Source organism: Homo sapiens, chromosome 1 (assembly GCF_000001405.40).
Source record: "Homo sapiens chromosome 1, GRCh38.p14 Primary Assembly".
Taxonomy (NCBI): domain Eukaryota; kingdom Metazoa; phylum Chordata; class Mammalia; order Primates; family Hominidae; genus Homo; species Homo sapiens.
In genome coordinates, this window is record NC_000001.11 from 214,406,496 (window position 1) to 214,434,343 (window position 27,848).

A 27,848-nucleotide genomic window follows, 5' to 3' on the forward strand; every position below is an offset into this window, starting at 1 on the left:
AAAAAAGTAGCCAATGCAATCTAGCAACTAAATTTTTAATTTTATTTAACTTGCATTAATTTAAATTTGAATATAAATATCCACACATGGCTAGCAGCTACCACCCTGAAGAGAGCCATTTTAGATCCAAGAATAACAATGTCAATATCTGTCTGTCCAATGATGAGATTTATGAAGTTTATGCTGTTTACATATCTGATTTGCCTAGAGTTTAGTGGAAACACAGTCTCATTCTGAAAGAGGTATGATGCACGAAATAACTCCTTTACTACTTCATAGCACTTTAACCTGTCAGAGCATTTTACCATTTACAAACTCATAAATATCATGCTGGTAATCACCTTTGAAAACTCTGAGAAGCACCCAAACCTGATCTCTTCCTAAAGGCAACGTAATAAAGGCCTTTAATGAGAGTAAGGCGAATAAGAAATAGGAAATTATCAACCCTCCAATACCAACTACCCCATTTGACACAAACATGTACACACTCTAAAATTCTAAGGTTTGAGCCTCACTTCCCTCCCACCAAGCACGCTGGGAAACACCCTGACTTTTGGGATGAGCTTCTGAGACATTAGAAATGTTGACTCAAGCATATTGACATTAAGCCCTAAGAAGAACTGCTCTGTTAAGTAATATGTTAATCTCTGGAGTTTCATTTAATGAGTAGAATTAATAAGGTATGAAAACAGCAGGCACAGCAGATAATACCACTGTTTACTTGGAGGGAAATAAAATAAGAATGGAGGCTGGACACAGTGGCTCACGCCTGTAATCCCAGCACTTTGGGAGGCTGAGGCGGGTGGATCACCTGAGGTTAGGAGTTCAAGACCAGTCTGGCCAACATGGTGAAACCCCCCGTCTCTACTAAAAATACAAAAAATTAGCTGGGCATGGTGGTGGGCATCTGTAATCCCAGCTACTCAGGAGGCTGAGGTTGTAGTGAGCTGAGATGGTGCCATTGCACTCCAGCCTGGCAACAAGAGTGAAACTCTGTCTCAAAAAAAAAAAAAAAGAATGAATGGAGTTATTCATGAAAAGTTAGAGATGTGCAATATTCCCTAACCATTAAGACCAAGATTAGCTTTGGACCAATTTAGACTGACCTCATGCACTAATATGGATAATTCCAGACTTACCTATCCCAGTCTCTCAAAACCTAAAACCTTTGTCACCAGACACTCTACTTTCTCCCATATGCCATCACTGATAAGTTGCCAGATTTTGCCTATTTTACTTCAAAATATCCCTTGCTTTGCTTTCTTGTTTTTCTTTCACTAACACCTAAATTATATCCTTTGCCCAGAACACAACAAGATTCCCAGCTGACCAGCTTGAATCCAGCAGTTCTCAAAGTGTGGGGTCTGCAGAACTCAAAGGAGCCCATGCATTCTAACTCCTCAGAAGTTTCCAGTCTCATCTGCCACAACTCTCCACCCGTAGCTACAGTCAAACCAGCCAGTGGATGCTTTCTGAACACCCAGGCCACACTGCCTCTGCTCCTTCTCTCTCTGTCTAAATCATTCCTTGCTCCCTATCTTTTTGCCTAACAGCACACATGCCATTAGTCTTTCAGCCTTCCCTAATCCCCCAAGGGCATGTGACCTCTCCCCATATAAAATTTTGATCACACTTTATCACACTTGGCTTTTTATTCTGATTTTGCAAACTTCCTATTTAACCAACCACACTGTAGTCTCCTTGAAAACAAGCACCATTTCTTATATAATTTCATCCCCTGGGTGTTAGTCCCCCAGGTCAGTGCTTGGGGTGAAAGAGTTGACGGAAAAAATAAGTAGTGAATGATCATGATTTCTGAAACCAGAGCCAGAATGTTGATTGGTTAGAGCTGTTCCCTAAAATGGCTTTCAAAATTTTTTAATCCCTCCTCATTAACACTCTTCTCTTTTACTCTGAAGCTACCCACCAACCAACCAACAAACCAACCAACAAAAATTCCCCAGGGGTTAAAACCTAGTCTTATCTTTACTTCAACCCAGGAATGGGCATTTTACTCTATTGATTCATTCTAAAATGTTTGTGAGCACAGGCTGTGTGCCAGATGACAGTGAAGAAGACAGGGTCCCTGTTTAAAGACCATAGAACTGACCATCTAGCTGACAATAATAAATACATACATATGTACATACATAAGAATGAATAACGCCAGATACAGAACTACACATACGAAAACTGATTTAACAGGAAGGATGGTGAGGGTGTATGAGACAGGTGGTTAAGGAAAGGAAGAGCTCTCTGGGAAGTAATATTTGAATTGAGACCTGAATGTCATAAAGATCTGGAGCAGGACATTCCAGGCAGAGGAAACCCACCTACAAAGGCTCTGGGGTGAGGAGAAGCTCAGTACGTTCAGAAAAAAAAAGAGCCAGCGTGCCAGAGGGTAGAGAGTAAATGAGAGAGAGGGAAGCAAAGCAGGGAAATGTCTTTTTTGTTAAAACAAAACAAAACTTTAATTCTATTGACAAATAATAATTGCATCTATTTATAGTACAATGTGATGTTGTGACACATGTATATATTGTGGAATTGGCAAGTTAGTCTAATTAACATATCCATCATCTCTTATAATTATCATTTCTTTGTGGTGAGAACATTTAAAATCTACTCTTTTAGCAATTTTGAAATACACATTATTATCAACGATAGTCACCTTGCTGTGCAGCAAATCACCAGAACTTATTCCTAACTTTGTACCCTTTGATCAACATTTCCTCCTTCCACCCAGCACTCAGCTTTGGTAACCACCATTCCACTCTCTACATCTATAAGTTCAACTTCTTTTGATTCCACATACAAGTGAGATTGGGCAGTATTTGTCTTTCTGTGCCTGGATTTTTCACTTAGCATAATGTACTCTACATTCATCCATCTTATGGCAAATGACAAAATTCTGTTCTAAGGCCAAATAGTATTCCATTGTGAGTATACACCATTTTTACCCATTGATCTGCTAGTGAGAACTTAGGTTGTTTCCATATCTTGGCAATTATGAATAATGTGGCAATGATCATGGGAGTGTAGACATCTCTTTGACATACCATTTCATTTTCTTTAGATATATACCCAGAAGTGAGACTGCTGGATTATATGGTAGTTCTATTTTTAATTTTTCAAGGAACCTCTACACTGTTTTCCAAAATGGCTGGAAGTTATACCTCCTTTACTCCTCATGCTCAGTAACACTTGTTATCTTTTACTCCTCATGCTCAATACTCCTCATGCTCAGTAAGACTTTACTCCTCATGCTCAATACTCCTCATGCTCAGTAAGACTTTACTCCTCATACTCAATAACACTTGTTATTGTTCATCTTTTTGATAACAGCCAATCCAACAGGTATGAGGTGGTGTTTCATCGTGGTTTCAATTTGCATTTCCCTGATGATTAGTGATGCTGGGCATTTTTCATATGTCTGTTGGCCTTCTGTATATTTCTTTTGAGAAATGTCTATTCAGGTCCCTTGACCATTTTTTTAATAGGGCTATTTGTTTTCTTGTTGAGTAGTTTGAGTTCCTTATATATTTTGAGCCCCTTATCTGATGTATAATTTGCAAATATTTTCTTTCAATGTGTGGGTTGTCTCTTTATATCTGTTGTTTCCTTTGTTGCACAGAAGCTTTTTAGTTTGATACAATCTCATTTATTTATTTTTACTTTTGTTGCCTATGTTTTTGGGGTCATATGCAAGAAATCGCTGCCCAGACCAATGTCATGTAGCTTTTCCCCCATGTTTTCTTCTAGTGTTTTATACTTTCAGGTCTTACATTTAAGTCTTTTTTTTTTCTTTTTTTTTTTTTGAGACAAAGTCTTGCTTTGTGGCCAGGCTGGAGTGCAGTGGCACAATCTCGGCTCACTGCAACCTCCACCAGGGGTTCAAGCGATTCTCCTGCCTCAGCCTCCTGAGTAGCTGGGACTAGAGGTGTGTGCCACCAAGCCCAGATAATTTTTGTAGTTTTAGTAGAGATGGGGTTTCACCATATTGTCCAGGATGGTCTCCACCTTTTGACCTTGTGATCCGGCCGCCTAGGCCTCCCAAAGTGCTGAGATTATGGGCGTGAGCCACCGCGCCTGGCCACATTTAAGTCTTTAATACATTTTGAATTTACTTTTGTACAAAGGGTGAGATAAGGATCCAAATTCAGTCCTCTGCATGTAGATGGCCAGTTTTCCCAGCACCAATTGCTGAATATACTGCCCTTTCACCAGTGTGTTCTTGGCCCCTCTGTTGAAAAATCTATTGGTTTTAGATGTGTGTGATTTACTTCTGGGTGTTCTATTCTTTTCCATTGGTCATTGTGCCTATTTTTTTGCTAGTCCCATATTGTTTTAATTACTATAGCTTTGATATACAGTTTGAAATAAGGTAGTGTGGTATCTCCTGCTTAGTTCTTTTGCTCAAAATTACTTGGGCTATTTGGGGTCTTTGGTGACTCCAAATGAATTTTAGGATTGTTTTCTATTTCCATGAAGAATGATGTTGGAATTTTGATAGGGATTGCATTAATTTGTAGATTACTTTTGGCAGACATTTTAACAATATTGATTCTTCCAATCCACGAAGATGGGGTATCTTTCCATTTGTGTCATCTTAAATTTCTTTCATCAATGTTTTATAGTTTCCAGCATACAGAATTTTCACCTCCTCAGTTAAATTTACTCCTAGGTATTTTTTTTTAATGCTATTGTAAATGGGATTGTTTTCTGCCAACTCTCACTACTTCTATTAAACATAGTACTGGAAGTCCTAGCCAGAGCAATTAGGCAAGAGAAATAAAAAGCAGCCAAATGGGAAAGGAAGAAGTAAAACTGTGCTTGATGATGACATGATCTTATATGTAGAAAACCCTAAAGATTCCACAAAAAAACTGATAGAACTGAGAAACAAATTTAGTAAAGTTTCAGGTTACAAAATCAGCATAGAAAAATCAGTAGCATTTTTATATACTAATAAGAAACTATCTGAAAAAGAAATTAGGGAAGTGTCTTGAGGCAGAAGAAGGCATTTTTACCTTCTCAGTGTGTTTTATAAAACTTGCCCCTACTTTATAAACCCATCGACTTTTTCCCCAGGGAATATGCATATGTAAAATCCTGAAATTTTCAAAGGAAAGAACTAAATGTCCAAAGAAGGTAGAAAATTAATTAAGAAAAATGAAATTACACTTACCATAGGAAATAGCACATACTCTCTGAGGAAATCTTGAGAATCAAACTGATTATAGTCTCCAAAATCAGCTGAGAAGAAAAGAAGATGGAAGGGCAGTATTTATTATATGAAATTAAAGATGGAATAAAATAGGGCAAACTCATCACTACATTATTCTTCACATTTCATCCTATTTCTCACTATTATTAAATAAAAATAGTGCCAAGATATGTTTGACATAGTTACTTTTATCTAACAATATGGTAAATATCAGCATGTAAGCACCACTACATGAATTTTTAGAAATAATGAAGAAATTTGAAAACAATTCCTAAAGGCCATTTAAAAAATTTTAAACAAACCTATATCTATCTGTTTGTTAAATATGCATCAATTCATATCTTAAGAATATCTGCCAAGAGGACTTTTTAACTCAAGGTTAATCTGGAGAACTGAAGAGCCAAACCCATCTGCATCTTTTCATATATATGCAGCTGGAAATTCCCACTGTAAATCACCCTTGGCAAGCAACCTCAAATATCTTTACACCTTCTAAATAACTTCACATGTTACAAGATGCCAAAAATTCTGTTTTCCCTGTTTTCATGTCACCGTGGTACAGTTTGAGCACATGCAAAATGAAATATATAAAGTCTTGCTTCTTATCTTGCTTGCTCTCCTAAAAACTAAACTTGAATGAAATTTTAATTTCATGTAAAATATTTAGCATCAGATAGAAATGGATCCAGGTATCTTTAAGGTAACAAGAGATATAGGATGAGAGGATACACACACCATGCACCAATGTTGAGAAGTTGCTAGAAGGTAAAAAATAAACGTCAACCTACAAACTCAGCATGTAACAAATTACCAATTAGGTGCAGCATTCAAGAATAGCAAACATCACTCACTCTGCCTATTTCCAAGTTCAATAATTGGTTATCACATTCCACCACAACTTATATTTCTGTTGATGTATCTTTCTAAAAATGCAATAAGCGTTCTCAAAAAAAAGTTATTTGAAAAGGATTAGTTAGAGAAGGTTTCATCAGACTGAACAGCTAGCTTCAAGGACCCAACAAAAAGGGAATCCAGAGTAAGTTCACCAAATTCCTCGAGGATCCTCCAATATCCAGGATGCCCACAATAAGCCTAATGATTGAGTAGTGAGAGGAAAGAGTACATGCAGTAAACAAAGCTTTTTATTTATTTATTTACTTTTTTAGAGACAGGGTCTTGCTTTGTCATCTGGGCTGGGGTGTAGTGAATTGATCATAGCCCACTGCAGCCTCAAACTCCTGGACTCAGGCGATCCTCCCACCTCAGTCTCCTGAGTAGCTGGGACTATAGGTGCACAACACCATACTGGGCTAATTTTTTATTTTTACTTTTTTCGTAGAGACAGAGTCTCGTTTTGTTGCCCAGGGTGGTCTCAAACTCCTGGTTTCAAGTAATCCTCTTGCCTTGGCCTCCCAAAGTGCTGGGATTATAGGCATAAGCCACCACACCCAGCCCAACGAAAGCTTTTTAAAAGAAGAAAGACCCAATTTGACAATGAGGGACATATTGATCTTCTCCATTATTTCAACAATGCTACCTCTGATTTCTCTATCATAACTGGCCATTGTTTCTTCCCCTCCAGTCTTTAAGCAGACAGAGGTGATACATCAGATTTTGCCTGTTTCCATCCACAGAATTACAACAGAAGCTAACTGTATAGAAATTACACTTCTAACAGAAATTGTTAAGTTGTTAATACTTCAGAATGAAAGAGGTCAGGAGAAGGGCTGCCTCTTCAGACACTTAAATCTGAGATGATTCAATTCAGCCCAGTGTTTGGGATGGGAAGTCAGTTCACACCTTCTAAAACAACAGTCCATGCAGGAAGAACCCAGCTGCTGGCTGGCTCACACTTGCAGATAAGCTGGTTTTCAAGAAAATGACTAAAAGGAAAAGTTTCTTTTCAAAAACTATATTACCATCTTCTTGCTTTTTTAAAAAAATGTTTTTAATTTTTACTTTTTGAGACAGAGTCTAGCTTTGTCACCCAGGCTGGAGTGTGGTGGTGTGACCTCAGCTCACTGTAACCTCCACCTCCCACGTTCAAGCGATTCTCGTGCTCCAGCCTCCTGAGTAGCTGGAATTACAGGCGTGTGCCACCATGCTTGGCTAATTCTTGTATTTTTATTAGAGACAAGGTTTTACCATGTTGGCCAGGCTGGTCTCGAACTCCTGACTTCCAGTGATTCACCTGCCTCGACCTCCCAAAGTGCTGGGATTACAGGCATGAGCCACCGCGCTGGCCTATCTTGCTTTCAATATGGCCTATCTTGCTTTCAGTATAACTGAAGGCAGTTAAGCCACCACTCAATAAACCATAATGTATAAAATATACATATAAAGTCCCACACATAACAATTTAGAGAAGGCAAAAAACAGCTATGTAATATAAACCTTTATAGGATGGATTGAAAGATAAATTCAGTCCAATACACATTTGTTGTTTCATGTTACAATCATGGATTTTAAATCTACCTCTTTAATTGCATTAGAATGCATTATACTATAATGTTTAAAGCTATCACACTCAAAGAAGTTGTGATAGTAACACCTTTGCAGCATCAAGCTACAGAATATGACCACATTGTGCCTTGGAATAATTCTGAGAAAATGTTCCACAAACCCTGAAATGTAGCCTTAATTAAAGGCAGAATAAAAGCTGCTATTTCCTCATATAAAACTGTAATTATACAAGCATGAGCAGTTTGCAAACAGCTTTGAGAAATCTACCACCCAGCCACCAAAAATCACTAACTTTGCATTTTTCACGTAAGATAACTTGAAATAAAAAGGGAGCATTACTAAGGGATCATTTAAGTAAATCTAACTTCTCACTCTGAGAGGCCAGCAACACCATGATCAAACAGAAAATGGAATTTCACATGCTGCTCATAACTATGTCTTACCTTGCACAGCTAGGCCGGCTAGCCGAATCACCTGGTCCAATGTACATCGTAATCGCCCTTCAAGCACATCTTTTTTGACTTGCAGGTAATACTGATATCTGTTCATGGGAATAGAGGAACAAACAACCTTAAAAACACATACTTGGAATATATTCCCACAACACAGATGCCTCTAGATGTAAAACCTTGTGTACACAGCAGGACATGCCTGTGATGCTGATAAAGGTCATTTCTATAAAAGATGGAAAGTGACCTCTGCCTGTGTTTATCTTTGTTTGATGTAGCAGGTGCCACATCCTGTTCATTCTGAGCTTGAGAGGATTCTCATCACATCACTTATTTGTAGGCCAGCGGGATAAACCACTGATAAGGACCAGGTCCTCATAACAGAATCCGAGAATGAAAATACTTTTGCACACCTGGAGACCCACGACAACACGACTGCCAAAGCTACACTCAACAGTGTGCGTTCCTGAATGCATTCTAGAAACACATCACCTTTCAAACTCAAAAGTTCGGTAAGGCAGATCACAAACAGGCCAAATAATTTGTAATTCCACTAAAAAATCAAATACAGTTTTCACCTTACACATCTGTGAATCAGAAAAATCTAATCTGATGCAACTTTCGAAACTGAAGTAAATTCTCAAACCAGCAAAGTACAGATGGACAGAATCGTGCCCAAACACATCAAGTCTCAGACTAGACAAGTGCCCTCAGGAGCTAATACAGTGTACTGTTTCCCTACCAATAAAATAGCCCTCTTAGAATTACCTAAAACATTTAGAAAACTTCTCACTCAAGACGTTTATTTCCCAGGACTCCACTTCCTTTGCCCATACTCTCAACACATAGTCACAACGACAACAATCACATTTCTCTAGCATTAATTCCTGGTAAATGCTAACAATCCTTTTGCTCCTGGTAACTGTAACTCTGTATTTTAACTTCACTTTGGCATCTCAATCAAGGGAACCCATAAGTGAACCAAAGCCCAACTTTCCTGGAGAGAGGCAATCGGCGCTGAGAGCTAATTACTGCTGGCTCTACCATGTTGATGTCACAGGCATCATTACACATCAGTCAATCCAATGCCTGTTTGAGGGAAGGAACTGGGCTCCGTGCATGCTCCAGTAGAGTCCTTCTTCTCTCCTCTTGGGTGTACTAAACAGGATAAAGACAGCCATACCACTCTTTGGTGGGAAAAACCTATACTCAAATCAGAAGGGCAAACACTGGGAGTTACTTAAAAATCCTTTTTAGTCAAACCTAATATGGGCTAGAAAAAATCACGAAGCAAAACAAAAAGCAAAATCTCAAGGTAGAAAAGAATGGTAAATTTCACTGATTCCTACTAATTATAAAATGTTTGAATCTCATCTACATGCCATTCATTCCTTCTCATCTTTCTGGAGTGGTTTTGACTTATTTGCTGCTCTCCAAGCCAGAAAGACAAACAGATATTTTAACCCATAGCTATCATTCATGCACTTTCTATGGGTGTAAGTCTGCTAGATGCTGAGTAGTATCTTGGAGAGTGCTAAAACAGTCTCCACCTTACAAGGATGCACATATCTTTTTGATCGCTGTGATCATGTTTTTGTCTAGTGTACTATCTAAGGATTCAGTGATTAAGAACCAAGGAGTAAAACATCTGAAAAGGTGTTAACCTGGCATCATCTGCCAGAGGTAGAGCTTTGTTACCTGTTACCTTGGAGATGAAAATGATCAGCTAAGATTATTTATTAGAGAATACCTTTGGGAGTTGACCAGTAACCAATTAATCTGCCACCAAAACAACAGCTCTAGTTCTTAAAAATCTGCTGCTTCCAACTTTCATCTACAGCTACCATTTGTATAATGTGTCAGCAAGTTCTATTACAGATCCATTCTATCCTAGGAAACAGTGACTCACAATCCACTAGCAAGGAACACCAGGAACATTCCTAATCATGTAGGTTGGGTGTAGGATTTTGCTGGAATATAAAAATAAGGAGCTGAAGCAAGCAGGGCTCTCTCCTGGAAGCCATCCAAACTAGGAGAGAATCTAAACAGCAGCAATGATAGGGTGCTATTACCACGAGATTGTGGGTACTACTGTGTAAGACTGCAGAAACGAGAATGAAATTCAAACCACTTTGAAAATTGTTTGGCTGGTACAATTTTGCACAAAAGGCAGTTTTATAAAATATTATAATTCTATCGAATATGATGACTAAATTTGACAACAGGAGTTGAAATTCTATTTCTAGAATGCCTGCTCTTTGCTTATTTCTCATTAGCGATTCAATTATAACAGTAGTAAAATATAACAGTGAATTCTATTTTGGAAGCATGCAATTTCATGGAAGTATACTCCACCCTGTCATAGCTTTGGGTGGAGGGGAAAAGGAAAAAAAAAAACAACAATTTTCATGCCAGGAAAGTAAGCATTTGCCAACTTTCCAAAGAGATCCTCTTTGAAAATCCAAGCTCACAAGGAAAACTTTTTAATATTTTTCATATTCAAAGACCTGGAAATAGTCCATCTGACTCTTGAGGCCCAATGAATGGTTTTAGGTTAGGATTCTGCTCTGCCTCTAAGAATTGGTGAACATAATTTTGCTTCTCGAATGAAGGTAAAATTTTGTATTTTCAAATTTTTAAATTTTGTTTTTAAAGATTAACTTTTTATTAAATACAGATTTGTCGGGGTGAAATAAAAAAGGCGTCCTAATAATCAGTGTTATCTATTGGGAACTAACATGCTATGACCTAGTCTCTGGGGGCCTCATCTATCTAGAATCTCCTCATCCGATGGTAAGAAAATAAGTGACTTATCCAAGTCACTTCCTCCCATAGGAGTTTGAAAAATCAAGTTTGAAAAAATGCCCTGTTGGGTCAAATCAACAGAGCCTTCAGTACTTTTGACAGAGTATCAAAGGATCCCTTCAAAATTATAGCCCATAACAATATCTTCAACATTTAGAGATGAATTGCTAAGATCTTCATGCTCTCTTTTAAATTCATGTATGAGGAATTTATCTCAGCACGTCTGCAACTGTGTTTTACTTGCAATTCTGTTCATGCTTCTCAGAGTGAGCAGGTCCGTGTGGTGTTCTGAAAGCATGGGCTGTATTACCACAGAACTACAAATAAGGCACCAGGAACTCAGAGGCCGGGTACGTGTTGCTTTTAAAATATTTCACCCACCCCTCCCCACAAGTGAAATCTTCATTCCAAGTCCAGTTCAGCAGACGTGCCCAAAACAGGAGAGAGCCATGTAAAACGGTTAAAGCCTTGGCATCTGATTTTGGTCATACTACCACCCTAGGATGCAACATGCTCAGCGTAAGTCACAGGATGGTGAAGACAGGAGGAGCAGGGCCCTTGCCACGGTTCCAAATGTCTGCTGCCTTCCCAACAGGGTCATGCCTGCCTACCTCATTACTCCTGGGACTAGCTTTGGGGCCAGTGAAATGGGAATGGAAGCAGGAAGTGATTGTTGCTCCCAAGCAAAAGTGTCCAGAGCCAGTGACCGGTTCTCCACCTCTGCTTCCCTTTGCTCTGAGGCCTGCAGTGAGCAGGGAGGGCAGGCTGCTCAGTGAGCCTGAGCCCTGGGCAAAGACAGCTGGGAACAGAGCCTCAGACGACCCACAGTGGATCTGTCAGGTGGGCAGCAAATAAACCTTTGTTTGTGAAAGCCACAGAAGCTTGGGGGCCATACATCACTGCAGCATGATGGAGCCTAAGCTATTTAATAAGGGAAGGATTTTTAAATTCCCAGTCCAATCCTTTCATTTCTTAGAGAAGGCAACTGTGTTGAGGGAGGAGAATGACTTGTCCAAGGTAATACTGCTTCCTTAAAGACATGGCCACAACCAGATCTGGGCATGAACAACCACAGGGATGAAGGCAGGATCTGATCCCTGCCCATTCTGGGCAAACCACCAATTTCACTGAAGTCTAAAAATAAAAGTGAAAATAAAACACCACTACCCGGTGATTTTTATGATGCTTCTAAAGAAGGGCTTCAATCACCAAGCTTTTCTCCACCCCTACTTAGACAGTCTGAGCTACAGCATATGAGGCAAATGTTGAAATGAGAAACTTTTCCATAAAAATCCTATTACAGGACATGTTTCATATTGTGGCCAATGGTTATTCAGATCTGTTTTTTCTCCTGGCAGCAGCCTCTGAGATATTTCACTTTTCTGCCCCAGAGATAGAAGGAAGGGAAAGAAGACTGAGTTATACATTTTAACTACATGTTAATTTTCGAAGAAGGATGGAGGGATAGAAGTAAAATCTACAGACCAGAGTTTCTGATTGTAGGCTCCCATCTGGAAGGAGTGGCTATGTCCAACAGCAGGTACAAACTGGGCCCTTATGTGTATATATTTCTAAATGCAGATTTTTAAAAAGTAAAATGCAATTCATCGTCAGTATCACACACAGGCGTTTACTTGTTTGCACTGAGCAGCTTCTATATTATCGATCATAAAAAATGTTATCCAAATTTAATAGCACATATCAACTATTCATTACTCCTTCTCCCCCTACTCTCAAGGAGGTCTGAGTAAGAAAGAAAACTTTCTTTCCTAATTTGAAAAACAGGTTAGTGAAAGCACTCTGTAAGCTGTAACTACCAACCTGCAGAATCATTATCATCACACACGGCTCCTGGTCTGCTCTTCCCTCCTCTAGAGTTCAAATTTAGTTAAACCAACTTATCTCTCCCCATAGGCACGGTCAGTAGGGATGTGACAATTTGGAGAGAGGGGCCATCCTTAAATTCCTCACTTTTTGAAGCCTTTCCATAAAACTACTGGAGTGGAGGACCAGACCAGGACCCGGAAAGACAAATTGTCCTGTCACTGTTATGAAGAGCAGGGTAAGACTTAAAATGTGCTTTCCTCACTAGAAAACTTTCTTCATAACTAGCAATATCAGAGGAATCTTGCTAGAATGTACTGGAACCCAGTTCTCCCAAGTGCAGCATGTACCAAAGTGCCAGACAGCATTGGTTTCTGGCTGATGTTATATTCTGCAAATGGAAACGTTTCTCTACTATAAAAGACAAAAAAAAGAGGGAAAAGAGACAAGTAGTCCTAGAGTCCTGGGGTACAGGAGAGCAAAGGGGAATAATTTAAAATCTTAGATTGACAGAGATACCCATAGGAAGGAACCAACACATTCCATCCATTCCAGCGGGTGTTCACAGCTGTAAATCCAGATAAAGGACAGGGTGGCCCATGCTGTTCTCTGTCTGCCAGGACCAGATAAATACTATGTATGCAGGCATGCAACCAGATAAACCTGAATGCCTCCCTCCCTCCATCCCTCTATCCTCAAAACTCTTGAGAAGAATTTCAGTTTATGACTATTAAAGTCTAATAATGCGTTTGGTACCTGACCCATGCACTATCTAAAAGCTTTTACATTTAATGACTGTTCAAGTTGACAGTCAATTAAAAGTCTGCACTGTCTAACAAACTACAAAGCGAATACTCCTGCAACTATGCAAAACTGAAATAACCCCATAGGGAGGGGGAAAACACAAACAAACAAAAGGAAAAGCTACAACTAAAACTCTAGCAAAGATACCCTTAAAAGGGAAAGTTTTTCTTCTAGGCTTTTTCATACTATAAGCTAATACATGTACATGCATGAGAAGAAAAGCATGTGCATATACCCAAACACAGACAAGATTTTCTTGGCAAACGTTCAAGTCTAGAAGTTTTCAACATTCATTGATCAATAAATACCCTATTTTGCCAGAGACACCCAACTTCTTAATAAGATTCCTTCAGTTTCAATGAGCCAAAGGATTGCAATTATTTCCTAAAAAGGATAATATTTGTTTAAATGCATACAAAGACACACACAGGCCTTAACTAGTGAAAAAAAGCCAATGATAGCAAGGTGTTGCAAAAGAGAAAGACATGCCACGACCTGATCCTTGCTTTCTGCTCTTGAACTCTTGCATTAATTATAACAAATTACAGGGAATCCAAGTACTGTTTATAAGTATAATAAATTCCCTAATAGTAGCCTATCATCTAATCAGGGGTTCTGTTTAGAAAAGAAAAACTCATTTCTGAAATACACCATACAGGGAGAGAGAATGTCCTGACACCACTTCTTTCTGTCCTATCCTATGCTATTGGGTACAGATTTCTTTATAGCAATCAATCCATAGCATTTAAAAGGGCCCGACATGGTTCCCTGCTGAGGGCTGTGATGCCCTGAATTAGGAAAACATGCCAACAGAAGTAGAAATAGTTAGCATCGAAAGAAAATACTGTGCTAAAGTGTTTGATGTTAAAATGAAATGAGTCTGTTTTGATCTGTCTTAAAAATCTCCAATGACTTGGGAAAGTTTTTCAGTTCCTTCAGAAGTTAAACATACAATTATCACATGATTCAGCAATTATGCTCCTCAGTATATAGCCACACAAACTGAGAACACATGTTCACACCAAAACTGATACATGAATGGCAATGTTATTCACAACAGCCAAAAAGAGGAAACAACCCAAAAGTCTAACACCTGATGGATGGATAAACAAAATGCGGTCTCTTCAAACAATGGAATATTATTCAGCCATAAAAAGAATGATATATTGATACATGCTGTAACATGGATGAACTCTGAGGCATTATGCTAAGTAAAAGATGCCAGACACAAAGAGTCACATCTGTGTGATTCCATTCATAAGAAATGTCCAGAATAGGCAAATTCATAGAGACAGAAAATAGACGAATGGTTGCCAGAGGTTGAGGGAAGAAGAGGCTGAGGAATGCCTGCTAACATTTTGAAATTAGACAGTGACAGTGGCTGCACAACTTTGTTAAAACACTAAAAGTCACTGAATTGTATACTTTAAAGTGGTTAAAATGATGGATTTACTCAGCACCATAAGAAAGGGTGAGGAGAAAAAAAAAATTTAATGGTGAATTTACATTATGTGGATTTTAGCTCAAAAAAATCAGAACAAAACACCCAATGATCCTAATCAGGAAAAAATCCAAACTCTTGACACAATACACCAGGCTCTTCACGATCCAGTCAAAACTATTTTTTTTTCCAACTTCATATCTCACCACACACCCCATACCTGAGCTGTCGTAAGTGTGCGGTGCTCCCCAATAGTTGCCATGTTCTTTCCTGCCTCCTCGCCATTTCCTTGGTCTAACCACCCTTGCCTATCCTCCATTTGCCCAATCATCTGTCCATGCTCCAAGGCTCAGAGGAAATGTATCTCCTCTCCAAAAGCTTCCCAAACCCTCTCAACAAGTTAGTGAACCCTTTCACATCCGCCACTATACTTCCCCCAGGCCTCTCCTGCACTGGCACCAGCGCCTCCCCAACTCTGTCGTGATCAGTACCTGGCACTAAGTAGAAGCTCAATAAACATTTCTGAGTAGATGAAATACTGACAGAGAGACAAAGACAGAAGAAAGGAGGGAGAAAGGGAGGAAGATTAATCACCTCCTAGCAAAGCTATTAGATGTTATTTCTATAATATGAAAGAGCGCCTAAAAATTCTAGAAATGGAACTCATCACACATCAAGCAGGAAGTCTTGGGAAACTTGTCTTTATGCAAAGAGCAAAACTACTCATTCAGTGTGAAATGTTTATTTATTTTTAAATGACTTAAACTGATCTCTGAGCCACCATGCAGCAAAGAAAGAACTCAAGGATGAATCACAGTCAGGGACCAACAGCATTAAACCAGGTGGGCAAAAGGAGCACAGATCAGGGAACACCAATGCTCCATGCTAACCGGCCAACCAAAACTACTCCTCTAAATTGCAGCTGTCAACTACGGAGCCTCATCCCTCTTACACTAGCAATAAATATGTCTTGACTCATCAGCTCAAAATACATATCTGCCTGCCCTGAAAATCGTGTGTTCATAATATTACCTACAACTCACTGTGGGAAAAGGGAACTCAAATTATATCTGGAAGCCGGGTGAGTCAATTGCCCAAAGATCTGTCTTCCTGGTAAACGGCCACGTTCCCGGCTAAGGATTCTGCATAACATCCTTGAAGCTTTGGTGAGCTACCAGGCGGAAATACAGTGCTGTTATTACTGATATGCCTGGTCTGAAGGATAAAATACATAAAAATCAACAAATGAAAGGCAAGAAGATCATCTCTGTGAATGGGCACAAGTTCTTCCCTAGAATCCCTAATTAAAGGTAGTCCCTACCTTTTCACAGGTAAGCAACTGCTAAAAGATGTCAACTCTCTGTCGATGAAGTAATGTCCCAGAAATGAGTAGGAAAACTATGTGCTTAATAAATGTCTGATGAACGAATGAGGCAATGGAAGTAAATACTTAATTCTATATCCCTCGAGACTATGACAAAAATGGAAAGAATAGAATTTCCTGCCAAAAGCAGAGGCTCATGTCTGTCATCTCAGCACTTTGAGGGGCTGAGGTGAGGAGATCGCTTCAGCCCAGACCAGCCTGGGCAACATGGCAAAACCCAAAAGAAACAAAAAAGGAAAGGGAAGAGGGAAAGGGGGGAGGGAGGGGAAGGAAAGTCAGCCAAACTAGCTGGACGTGATGGCATGCACCTATTGTCCCAGCTACTCAGGAGGTGGAGGTGGGAGAACCAATTGAGCCCAGGAGTTTGGAGGCTGCGGTGAGTTGTGATTGGACCACTGCATTCCAAGCTGAGCAACAGAATGAGACTGTCTCCCCGCAACACCCCCCAAAAAAGAAAGATAAGAAAAAGAAATTCCCAGCCCATGTTAAGTCATATGGCTAGGCACACTTCCGGTGACCACAGACTCTGTATGGATGGGAGTGCCATCTACATTCCTTACTCCAGCATCTCTGTCACTGTAACCATGAGCCCACTTTCCAAGTTTTGTCCCTAAGAGCCAGCCAAGCCTAACTTTAAACTTTGGTTGATGCTTTGTTTACTGGCCAGTCTAAATTTTGAAAATTTCTAATTGCTGGCTTCTAGGCTTTCGTGCTTCATCACTGCAGGTGCCCCTACTCACCCCATGCTCTCTTAATCACTGAAGGCGCATTTTCTCATATTCACAGCTTAAAAATATCTGAGTACCTGCAGGGCGTTGTGGCTCATGCCTGTAAACCCAGCACTTTGGGAGACCGAGGTGGGTGGATCATTTGAGGTCAGGAGTTCAAGACCAGCTTGGCCAACATGGTGAAACCACGTCTCTACTAAAAATACAAAAATTAGCCAGGCATGGTGGCTCACGCCTGTAATTCCAGCTACTAGGGAGGCTAAGGCAGAAAAATCGCTTGAACCTGGGAGGCGGAGGTTGTAGTAAGCAGAGTTCGCGCCACTGCACTCCAGCCTGGGTGACAGAGTGAGACTCAGTTTCAAAACAAAACAGTAACAACAAAAAATCAGAGTACTGGCCGGGCACGGTGGCTCATGCCTGTAATCCCAGCACTTTGGGAGCCTGAGGCAAGTGGATCACAAGGTCAGGAGTTCAAGACCAGCCTGGCCAAGATGGTGAAACCCCATCTCTATGAAAAATACAAAAAGTAGCTGGGTGTGGTGGCGGGCGCCTGTAATCCCAGCTACTCAGGAGGCTGAGGCAGAGAATTGCCTGAACTTGGGAGGTGGAGGTTGCAGTGAGCCGAGATTGCACCACTGCACTCCAGCCTGGGCAACAGAGTGAGACTCTATTAAAAAAAAAAAAAATCAGAGTACCACACAAGTAACCCATATTAAAAGAACGTTTGAAAACACAGACATAACAAACAAACACAAAAGCTGGATGGAATGTTTATCAGAAATAGCAAAATAGGGGCTATCTGCTCAGAAGTCAGCAATATGAGAGATAATTCGGAGATCCTGCTGGATGACTTTAATTTCCATAGCATGGACCTGTGGTGAGACAATTGAGTGGGACACCCCACTTTCTTTCTTTTTTTTTTTTTTAGACAGAGTCTTGCTCTGTTGCCCAGGCTGGAGTGCAGTGATGCAATCTTGGCTCATTGCAACCTCCATCTCCCGGGTTCAAGTGATTCTCCTGCCTCAGCCTCCCGAGTAGCTGGGACTAAAGGTGTGTGCCACCACACCTGGCTAACTTTGTTTTATTATTTTTTATTTTTGGTATTTTTAGTACAGATGCAGTTTTGCCATGTTGGCAAGGCTGGTCTTGAACTCCTGACCTCAGACGATCTCCATGCCTTGGCCTTCCAAAGTGCTGGGATTGCAGGTGTGAGACACCGTGCCCGGCCCGCCCACCCTACATTCCATGTGGCCACTATGATCCATGTTCAGCCTCTCCCCAATCACAGCAATTTAATATTAAAGATTTTATGCATTTGTAATGATAACATGCCTATCCATCTCTGTTTTTTTTTTAGTAGAGGCAGAGGTTATGCCACGTTGGCCAGGCTGGTCTCGAATTCCTGGCCTCAAGTGATCCACCTGCCTCGGCCTCCCAAAGCGCTGGGATTACAGCCATGGGCCACCAGGTCCATCCAGCCCATCAATCTCTATTTAGCACCCTACTAGCCCAGAAGTACCTTGAAGGCGGGAACCACCTCTCTCTATTCTACAATTCACAGACTCAGTAGATGATCCTAGACTTGGTAGTTGCACAAAAAGCATTATGATCATTTACTGACTCAGAGACACCCAGTGGGTAAAAAAGAATGCTTTTCTGGAAGTTAGCCACCCAAATAGGTGGCATAAAACAACACTGGACTCAGCAGAAAGAAAAAAACAAAATCACCTACACTCTAGGTATTACATAATATAAAGCCTTTCCCCAGTCAACAAATTGGAATAACTCATTCCGCCCTCTGTGTTCCCATTGATTTTGTAACTCTAACATGGTACTGATCAAACAACTTAATTATGTGCATCTATTTTGCCTCCTTTGCTGTTTTATAAGACTGCCTTGTTCATGTCTGTATTTCCCCCAACAGACCGCCTTACTATGCATTCACATTAAAGCAGGATATTATTATGGCCACATATTTAAAAGACAGTCAATTACATACTGGCTGAAAGAAACTTTACGTTGTTCCTAGTGTACTATGAAAAAAATAATAAAAACACACCACATGTCTATCAAAAGCTTTGGAAGAACTGAATTCTCCACAATTGGAATTTTTATCAATTTCTCTAGATATTAAGAAATCAGAGCCTTCAAATAGTTATTAACAATGATAGCCCTTTGCATTTGCGCAGTTGTTTTCCAAGAATTGTCATGTATAATATTTCCTGTCATTTAATATTCGCAACAACCCTGCAAGATAGCCACTATCCCATTTATCCACGGGGAAACGGAGGCTCCCAGGGGGTAGGTGACTTGCCAAGTCTTCTGATTTTACAGTCAAGTGCTCTTTTATTACAACATTGTGCCTGTGTAGTAGGTTAGTCTATAGTTTCTACAATCTGGAGCATAAATCGCAAAAAAAAAAAAAAAAAAAAAAAAAAGGAAGGAAGAAGAGAAAAAAACTACAGAAGGCTATAAACAGATCACAACATGAATCCATTGACAACATAATGAATTTTTAATGTTAGAAATGAATAATTTTCTTTTGCAGAATCTTCAAAGCAGCTGAAGACATCAAATGTGGCAACAACTGCCAGAGATAAAATACCAAACCAGCAAACATCTCACTGCCCAAGAATCTAGTATCTTCCTATGCTGTGATTTCTGCCAAAATCATGCTTGATATTTTCAAGCATGGAAATGTCTCTCTACAATTCTTCCTTTCAAACCCTTCTTGAGGCTCTAGGATTAAAGGAGGAGATACTTCATTTGTTAAATGCAATTTAAAAATCATTTTGAACATCCTTTCTTCTTTTAGAGTTTTAGTTTTCTAATTGCCTTAGTTTCTACAAGACCATCTTTTATAACTCTTGACACATAGTAAACTTTAAGTTAGAAACTGTAACTTCCTAGAGAAAAAAAAAAATGATGGCCAAAGTGACAAGTAACTACACATAAATATAGGAAACCTTTTGTTTAGGACATGGGTAGAGGGATGGAGGATTGCCAAGCAGAGAACTATAATTCCCAAATCAGAGAAATTCTTCAATTCTTTCATTTCATGAAAGAAGGCTGCTACAAACACACTCCTCCTTTTCATCCTAGACTTAAGAACTTAAAACTCTCTCATTAGAAACCAGAATAGGAGCGCATTAAATGTCTCTTTAGGAACCAAAAATTCAGGGGCGTGAAGCCCAGGGAAGATGCCAGTGTGGGGCAGTCAGTGGCTGTACGGGGCACACCCTGCGGGCATCAGGCCATATTCAAAGGAGAGCACTCTCCAGAAGAGAAGTACTAAGTAGGTATTCAAATTCTCTCTTTAAAAACAAAAATAAAATAAAAAAATCTCAGCAGGCTTCTCCTAAAAAAAATTATGATTACAGGCCAGCGTGGTGGCTCACGCCTGTAATCCCAGCACTTTGTGGGGCCGAGGCGGGCGGATCACAAGGTCAGGAGATCGAGACCATCCTGGCCAACCTGGTAAAACCCCATCTCTACTAAAAATACAAAAATTAGCCAGGCATGGTGTGCATGCCTATAGTCCCAGCTGCTCGGGAGGCTAAGGCAGGAGAATCACTTGAACCAGGGAGTTGGAGTTTGCAGTGAGCCGAGATCGTGCCACTGCACTCCAGCTTGGCGACAGAGTGAGTCTCCATCTCAAAAAAAAAAAAAAAAAAAAAAAAATTATGATTGCAGAAAATATAAGGCCTCCTATAATTTGTTAATGTTCATGAAACCAGCATAAAATGTATTGAATAGAAATCATTATAAAAGCTGTCAGATTCTATTAAATTAGTATAATGATTTCTTATCCTTTTATAGTACTTTCATTTAAAAAGTAAACCAACTTAGTTTACTGGTAAAATATCAGAAGTATATACATACATATATTCCATTATTTATTCATTCATATTTGACAAAAGCTTAATGAGCACCTACTACATGCCAGGAGTTATTCTAGGCACTAGGGATATCACAGTGAACAAAACAAACCCATTCTCTGCTCTTGCTCATGGAGCTCACAGTCTAGTGGGGAAGACAAGCAAAAATCAAGTAAATAAACAATAGGTCCAATGAGAAAAAAGCAGGCAAGAGACACAGAGAGTAGCAAGGTAGGAGGTGGTCAAGAAAGGTTTCTCTAATAAAAGCGAACTCTGAGCAAAGATCTGAAAAAAAAATGAGGAGCTAGCCATGTGGATATTTGGGGGATGGAGGTTTTCACTTCAAACAAAGGGAATGGCAAGTAGAAAGGCTTTCAGGAGAGCTAGTGTCGTGCATTCATGAATGTTCAAGAGGTCAATGTAGCAAAGAGTGAGCAAGAGGATGAATCGTTGGGCTGACAGAAAAGGCAGGAAGTGGTACAAACCACAAAAGGCCTCGCAGGGCACGGTAAGGGTTCTGACGACAGTAAGATGGGAAACCAGTGGAAGGTACTGAGCAAAGGAGCTGCATAAACAGGCACCCATTTTACAAGATGGTACTGGCTGCTTTGTAGACACTGGACTGGGAGGGGCAAGGGTGGAAGCGGAAATGCCAGTCAGAAAAAATGACAGCAGACTGGATTAGAGAGGTTACAGTGGACGCAGAAGGAAGTAGTCAGAATCCAGACATATTCTGAAGGCTGGATGTGGTGTATGGGAGAAAGAATTCAAGGATGACTGCAAGATTTTTGGCCTGAGCAACTAAACTAAACCTTTCAGATAAAGACTTCTCACTTTTTGAAAACTGACAGACAAAACAGATTTGGGGGAAACGGATTTGACTGTCTTCTAAAAATTATAACCACATAATCTTTCATTAAAACCTACATATTCAAAATAGTCATCAAACCACGTCAGTCAAACATTTTATCTAATCATTTTAAAAGAGGAAGTATCTTTGATATAGTAATGGATTCTCCCTTTTCCTTTTTATCATCTTCTTCCTCTTCCTTGTCCCTCAAATCCTCTGCCTATTTTTGTAAAAGAACTATCTTTATAGAACGAAGTCCACACATATTTCCCTCTGATTTCTATTATTTGACTTTTGAGTCCAGATTAAGAATGGCAAAGAGACCATGTAGTAAATGTGCAGTGAATAAGTGGACAGGTGGTAGGAATCAGGAAATGAAACACTGCTCTCACCCAGGGTTTGGCAAAATCTCTGGAAGGCCCAAATAAAGGGTATTTCCTTTCTTCCCACTTGAGCCCTATTATCAAACCACTACACTTTAAAAACATCATCATTTTTTGTAACTTTAAAAATGGTCTTTGCAGTATAACTTGATCAAAAGGCATGCACTAAAAAGATTGGGGAGAAAAAACAAGTTTGTGCAATTAATAATATAGTTACTAAGCCATGCATTTCTGCCATCTGAAGTTTCTTGTTTCTATGAAAACTCACCTAGAGCCACCACCGACTTTACATTAGTAAACTAAGTCCAGTACATTTTCCTCACAGAATGAAATCCCAAATATTGCCTCACTTTTTCATGTTAGCCCGTTCCGTATAATTTTCATGAATTCTTAAAGGCATGACCATGCTTATAGACAGGATGATTTCCTCATAAAAGTCATGATCACAGATTTAAGTCTAAAGAAGAATATGATCATAAGTATATGCAAATAAGAATAAACATAATGGACTCCTTTATAGTTTACCACCCAGAAATAGATATGTTCACATGACCATCTTCTATATGTTTATTATCTTCTCAGTGAAGGAGATCTGTAATAATATTACATGAAAACAAGCTATTATTTAGTATTTAAAATGCATTGTTTCACAATTGTTTGAGAGAATACAATTTGGTAGCTGATTTTGATGATTCAGATAGCTAGAGTACTACATGCTTTTATAATTCTTAATTTGAACTCTGTAAAAACATTGACAGTCATAAACTACTACAAATATTTGAAAAAAGGTGACTTTCAGGAGATCAAGGACTTCATCTGTTTTGTTCAGTGCTGTATTACCAGTAACCAGAAGTTTCCTTGTATATAACAGATGCTCAGTAAATATTTATTTTTTTATCCCCCAAATGGTCTTCAAGTAAACTTATTGAATGCATGCATGAACAATGAATGAAAAATCCTTGATATTTTGCCCAAAATGGGCTGTCCAAGCCAACTAGAATATTAATTATGTAAAATTGTGTTAAGTTACACTACTTACTTCATGCTAAGGATCAATATAGGGTATTTGACAAAATAATTTTAGGAAGTACTAAAGGTAGATACATTTTTTCAAAACAGGGTTTTATGAGAAGAAAGAAAAGGAATTTATTTTATAATGAACATACTGGGAATTCTAGATTAAGAAAATATTTTTCCTTAATGACCTCATCAGATTAAAATTCTAAAGAAGAAATTGCATGACTTAGTTTCAAGATACAGAAGGAGATTTCATCCTGTGAACGTGTGACCCAACAGTAATAGGGAAACCTTGAACTTTAAGAAATTCTTTAGCTGAAATATAAATCCAGGGCTAACTGTGCTACGATTATTTGCTTCCTACCACATTCTAGGTATCCTTGAGGACTTTGCATTGCAATTTTCCTCCCCTCTTACATAATTTCCTTGGCTCGGAATGTTCTCCCTTCACACTTTCCGCTCATCCATCAGTGAGCCCTTGATACTGATGGGAGCTACCGCTTTAGGTATTTGGGAGAGATAACAGGCTTATAGCCCCTGGTCCAGGCTGTTTTCCTGCCTAACAATGCTGACTCACCAAAATCCAATGTCTTCTTCAAAGCCCCAATTCCAGGGACATCTCTTGTCATGGTTAATTTTATGTGTCAATTTGGCTAGGCCACGATATCCATATATTTGGTCATTTTTCTAGATGCTTCTGTGAAGGTATTTTTTGATGAGATTAACACATTTAAATCAGTAGACTTTGAGTAAAGCAGAATGCTTGTCACAATATGAATGGGTCTCGTCCAATCAGTTGAAGGTCTTACAGAGAAAAGATGGACCACGCAGAAGGAAGAATTTGTGTTTGGACTTGAACTTCAATCTTCCCTGGGTCTCCAGCCTGCTGGCCTGCCCTGCAGATTTTGCATTTGTCAAGTCTCTCCATTTATGTGAGCCAATTCCTTAAAATAAGTTTCTCTCCCTATTTACATATACATCTCATTAGTTCTGTTTCTCTGGAGATCACTGAATAATGCCCGTCTCCAAAGCTCCTCCTTATCATTCCACCCATGAAAGGTACCTTCAGCTGGCATCCAACACATACTAATATGTTGCTCAAATATTTTTATGTGACCATCTAATCTACCCAAATAGATTGAAAACCCCATTCAGGACAGGACTGACATCTTGTGCCACTCTATATCTTGCAGAATACCTTATACTTTGAAAATAATTAATGTGTTGAATGAATGCCCAGAGGTGAGTCTGGAAGGCAAAGGAGGCTTCTAAGGCAAGAAGGAAAGAGGAAAAGGGAGATACTTCAAGTACTGCAAAGAGCAGAGGAAGAAGTGAGAAACCCAGGGTGTCCAGAGACATTGAACGGCACAGACAAGTAAAATAGGGCTATGTAAGGAAGCAGAAGACAAAAAGGAAGACAGAGGCTTGCCATGCTTCAAATGCCTCTGGATGTCTGTCTTTATCTTCTAAGCAATGGTAAGACATTATGTATTTTTGACAAAGGAAGGAAAATGATGAAAGCAATCCTTTAGAAGGATGCTTTAGAGTTGGTATGTACACCACATTATATAAATGGGTGGTACAGATACAAATTGGGAGGTCAAATAATAATGATGATAGTGTTAGGTACTACAAAGTGTGCTTTTCTGTTTATTAACCAGTATAATCTTCACAAGAGCTTCTGTTCATGGAGAAACTGAGTCTTAAGAAGGATAAATAACTCACCTGAACATACAAAGAGTGAATGGCAGAGCAGAATTCAAATCCAAGTCTGTCTGACTGTAAAGCCTGTGCTCTTTACCATTTCGTTATATTTAAGGCTGGAGGTAAGAAGACATAAATTGGGGGCACAGCGGACTAGAATGGATTTAACTGGAAAGGTACGGCACATAGTGGTAAATGTGTGGATTCTGGAGCTACACTGTGTAGGCTTGGATCACAGCTCTGTCATGTACTCAAACTGTGCGGGCAAGTTACTCAACCTCTCTGTGCCTTAGTTTCCTATTCTGTGAAATCAGAATAATAGTACTAACTCAAAAAGTTGTTACAAGGGCTAAATGGGTTAATATGGATGAAGAGCTTAGAATTGTGCTTGGCCATAAACACTCATGAAATGTCAGGAGTCATCATTGTTAATATTAAGAAAGATCAGCCAAGCGCAGTGGCTCACGCCTATAATCCTAGCACTTTGGGAGGCCAAGGCAGAAGGATTGCTTGAGCCCAGGAGTTCAAGACCAACCTGAGCAATACAGTGAGATCTTGTATCTACAAAAAAGTTTTTAAAAAATTAGCCAGGCATGGTGGCACATGCCTGTAGTCCCAGCTACACCCAGGCTGAGGTAGGAGGATCTCCTGGGCCAGGAACTATGGGCCAGGAGGCTTCAGTGAGCTATGATTGCAACACTGCACTACAGCCTGGATGAAAGAACAAGACCCTGTCTCAAGAAAAAAAAAAATCAGTAGGATTTGCAACTAAATAAATGCCACAATACTTGCTTTTATGATTACTGATATCCCTTGAGAGCCTCAAACATAAAAGGTACTTAACATTTGTTTAATGAATAACAAATTCAATACAGAAAGAAAGAAAAAAGAAACATAAGACCAAGTATTTAAGATTTCTCAGCCTTACAATTTGCTTTTCATTTCGCTGGCAGTAATACAATTTTTGGAAAACTACTAACTAGCATATGCATATTCAGCAGAAATAAGTACATTCATGAGAGCCTGTGTGAGACTGTCCATAAGACATGTACTAGAAATGTTCACAGCAACACAGTTCCATTTGTAATAGCTCCCAAATGTAAACAATTCAAATGTCCTTTGTAGAATGGGTAAATTGTAATGTATGTCTTCCTTTGATAGAATATTAAGCAGCAATGAAAATGAATGATCTCTATACACAACAATATAGATGACTCACAAAATGTTGATCAATGAAGTAAGACATCAAAGAGCATATACTGTATTACTCTACCTAAAAAGTTTTTTTTTAAAAGAAAAGCAAAACTAATATATGATATTAGAATTCAGGATCATGGTTATCCTGATCCATAAACACTGAGAGGGAGCACAATGAAGGATTCTGAGTGGCTGGTGATGCTCTGATTCTTGAACTAGTGACTGACTGCATGGGTGTGTTCACTTTACAAAGATTCATTGAGCTGTACACTTTTCTTACAGTCTCATCTGTCGCCCAGGCTGGAGTGCAGTGGCACGATCTCGGTTCACTGCAAGCTCTGCCTCCCAGGTTCACACCATTCTCCTGCCTCAGCCTCCTGAGTAGCTAGGACTACAGGCGCCCACCACCACGCCCGGCTATTTTTTTGTATTTTTAGTAGAGACAGGGTTTCCCAGTGTTTGCCAGGATGGTCTTCATCTCCTGACCTCATGATCCATCCACCTCAGCCTCCCAAAGTGCTGGGATTACAGGTGTGAGCCCGGCCTCACTTTTCATTTTTGCACTTGTCTGTGCATATGTTATATTTCACCAAAAAGCCTATCTTAAAAAATGACTACTAGCACAAAGACAACAATTTGACTCCAAGTATGGAAAATGTCTACCAAGCAGAGGTGGAGCTTGAAGAAACTGGCAGGGTCTAGTGTAACAAATGACATGAGGAAGTGGGGGGCTCTGGTGACAGATTTGCAATTTGTGACAGTGAAAGAATCTTAGAGCTACTTATAGAAAAATGGGATATTTAAGGGAGGATTTAAAATCAAGAGAAGGCAGCAAGTAACTAACAGTTCATCACTGTCTACCTTTCTGATTCCTACAAGGATTGATTGAGCCAGAGTATTGTGGGTAGAGATGATTGACAAATAGTCGTCATCACCACTCTGAGGACACTGAAGCAAGAATGTAACAACAAGCAGAGGGGCCATAAATATACGCTTAAGAAAAAGGTTGTATTCTGCTTATACGTCCAGTTCCCAGCACACAGCAGATATTCAATATATAAACGAATGAATGACTGTCTTCTGTCAGCAAGAAATCAAGAATAAAATGTGGGTAAATGGTACAAAGTTAGGCCACATCTGTCAAAAATTACTTCTAGAGCTGGGCGTGGTAGCTCATGCCTGTAGCTCTAGCACTTTGAGAGGCTGAGGCAGGACGACTGCTTGAGCCGAGGGGTTCTAGACCAGCCTGGGCAACATAGTGAGACATTATTTCCACACACACACACACACACACACACACACAAAAAAAAAAAAAAAAAAAAACTCAAAAAATTTAGCCAGGCATGGTGGTGCATGCCTGTGCTCCCAGTTACTTGGGAGGCTGAGGTGGGAGGTTCACTTGAGCCCAGGAGTTTAGGGCTGCAGTGAGCTGTGATTGTGCCACTGTACTCCAGCCTGGGCAACAGAGTAAGACCCTGTCTCAAGAAAAACCCAAAAAAGTACTTCTAAAGGCTAAAGACAATTGAGCTGTATTGCACAGCAAATATAAAGAGGGAAAAAATTAGAAGGACAGGGTTCCAGTAAATTGGAGATTGCAAGATGAAAATAGGCAGGTCAGAGATGAGATAAGGTGAAGGTCACCAAAAGCCAAGGAAAGAGAGGATTTTGAGGAGTGGGCTCTCCATGTCTAACGT

General features: G+C 39.6%; 1 protein-coding gene and 1 long non-coding RNA gene across 7 annotated transcripts in view, besides 2 other annotated features; one reads left to right on the forward strand and one right to left on the reverse strand.

Moving 5' to 3' along the window:
• The window catches only part of PTPN14 (protein tyrosine phosphatase non-receptor type 14), a 202,903-nt gene that overhangs the window by 57,796 nt on the left and 117,259 nt on the right, over nucleotides 1-27,848 (reverse strand). For all 6 annotated transcript variants that reach the window (NM_005401.5, XM_017001941.2, XM_024448759.2 and 3 more), the window contains 2 exons: nucleotides 8,134-8,231; nucleotides 5,189-5,256 (listed from right to left, as the gene is read on the reverse strand). In NM_005401.5, the coding sequence (NP_005392.2) occupies nucleotides 5,189-5,256; nucleotides 8,134-8,231 (166 nt within the window). The remainder of the gene's footprint in view (nucleotides 1-5,188; nucleotides 5,257-8,133; nucleotides 8,232-27,848) is intronic.
• Nucleotides 10,663-13,477, forward strand: LOC124904508 (uncharacterized). The gene is made up of 3 exons (XR_007066875.1): nucleotides 10,663-10,751; nucleotides 11,210-12,484; nucleotides 12,859-13,477. It is a non-coding gene; the product is annotated as an uncharacterized LOC124904508 (long non-coding RNA).
• Nucleotides 13,056-13,618: an enhancer, noted in NCBI's record as "NANOG-H3K4me1 hESC enhancer chr1:214592894-214593456 (GRCh37/hg19 assembly coordinates)". NCBI's record gives its function as "activates a minimal SCP1, AML or CMV promoter by ChIP-STARR-seq in primed H9 embryonic stem cells {active_cell/tissue: H9 hESC(primed)}" and the evidence as "EXISTENCE:reporter gene assay evidence [ECO:0000049][PMID:30033119]".
• Nucleotides 21,385-21,434: an enhancer, noted in NCBI's record as "active region_2532". NCBI's record gives its function as "activates an Ori minimal core promoter by ATAC-STARR-seq in GM12878 lymphoblastoid cells {active_cell/tissue: GM12878}" and the evidence as "EXISTENCE:reporter gene assay evidence [ECO:0000049][PMID:35858748]".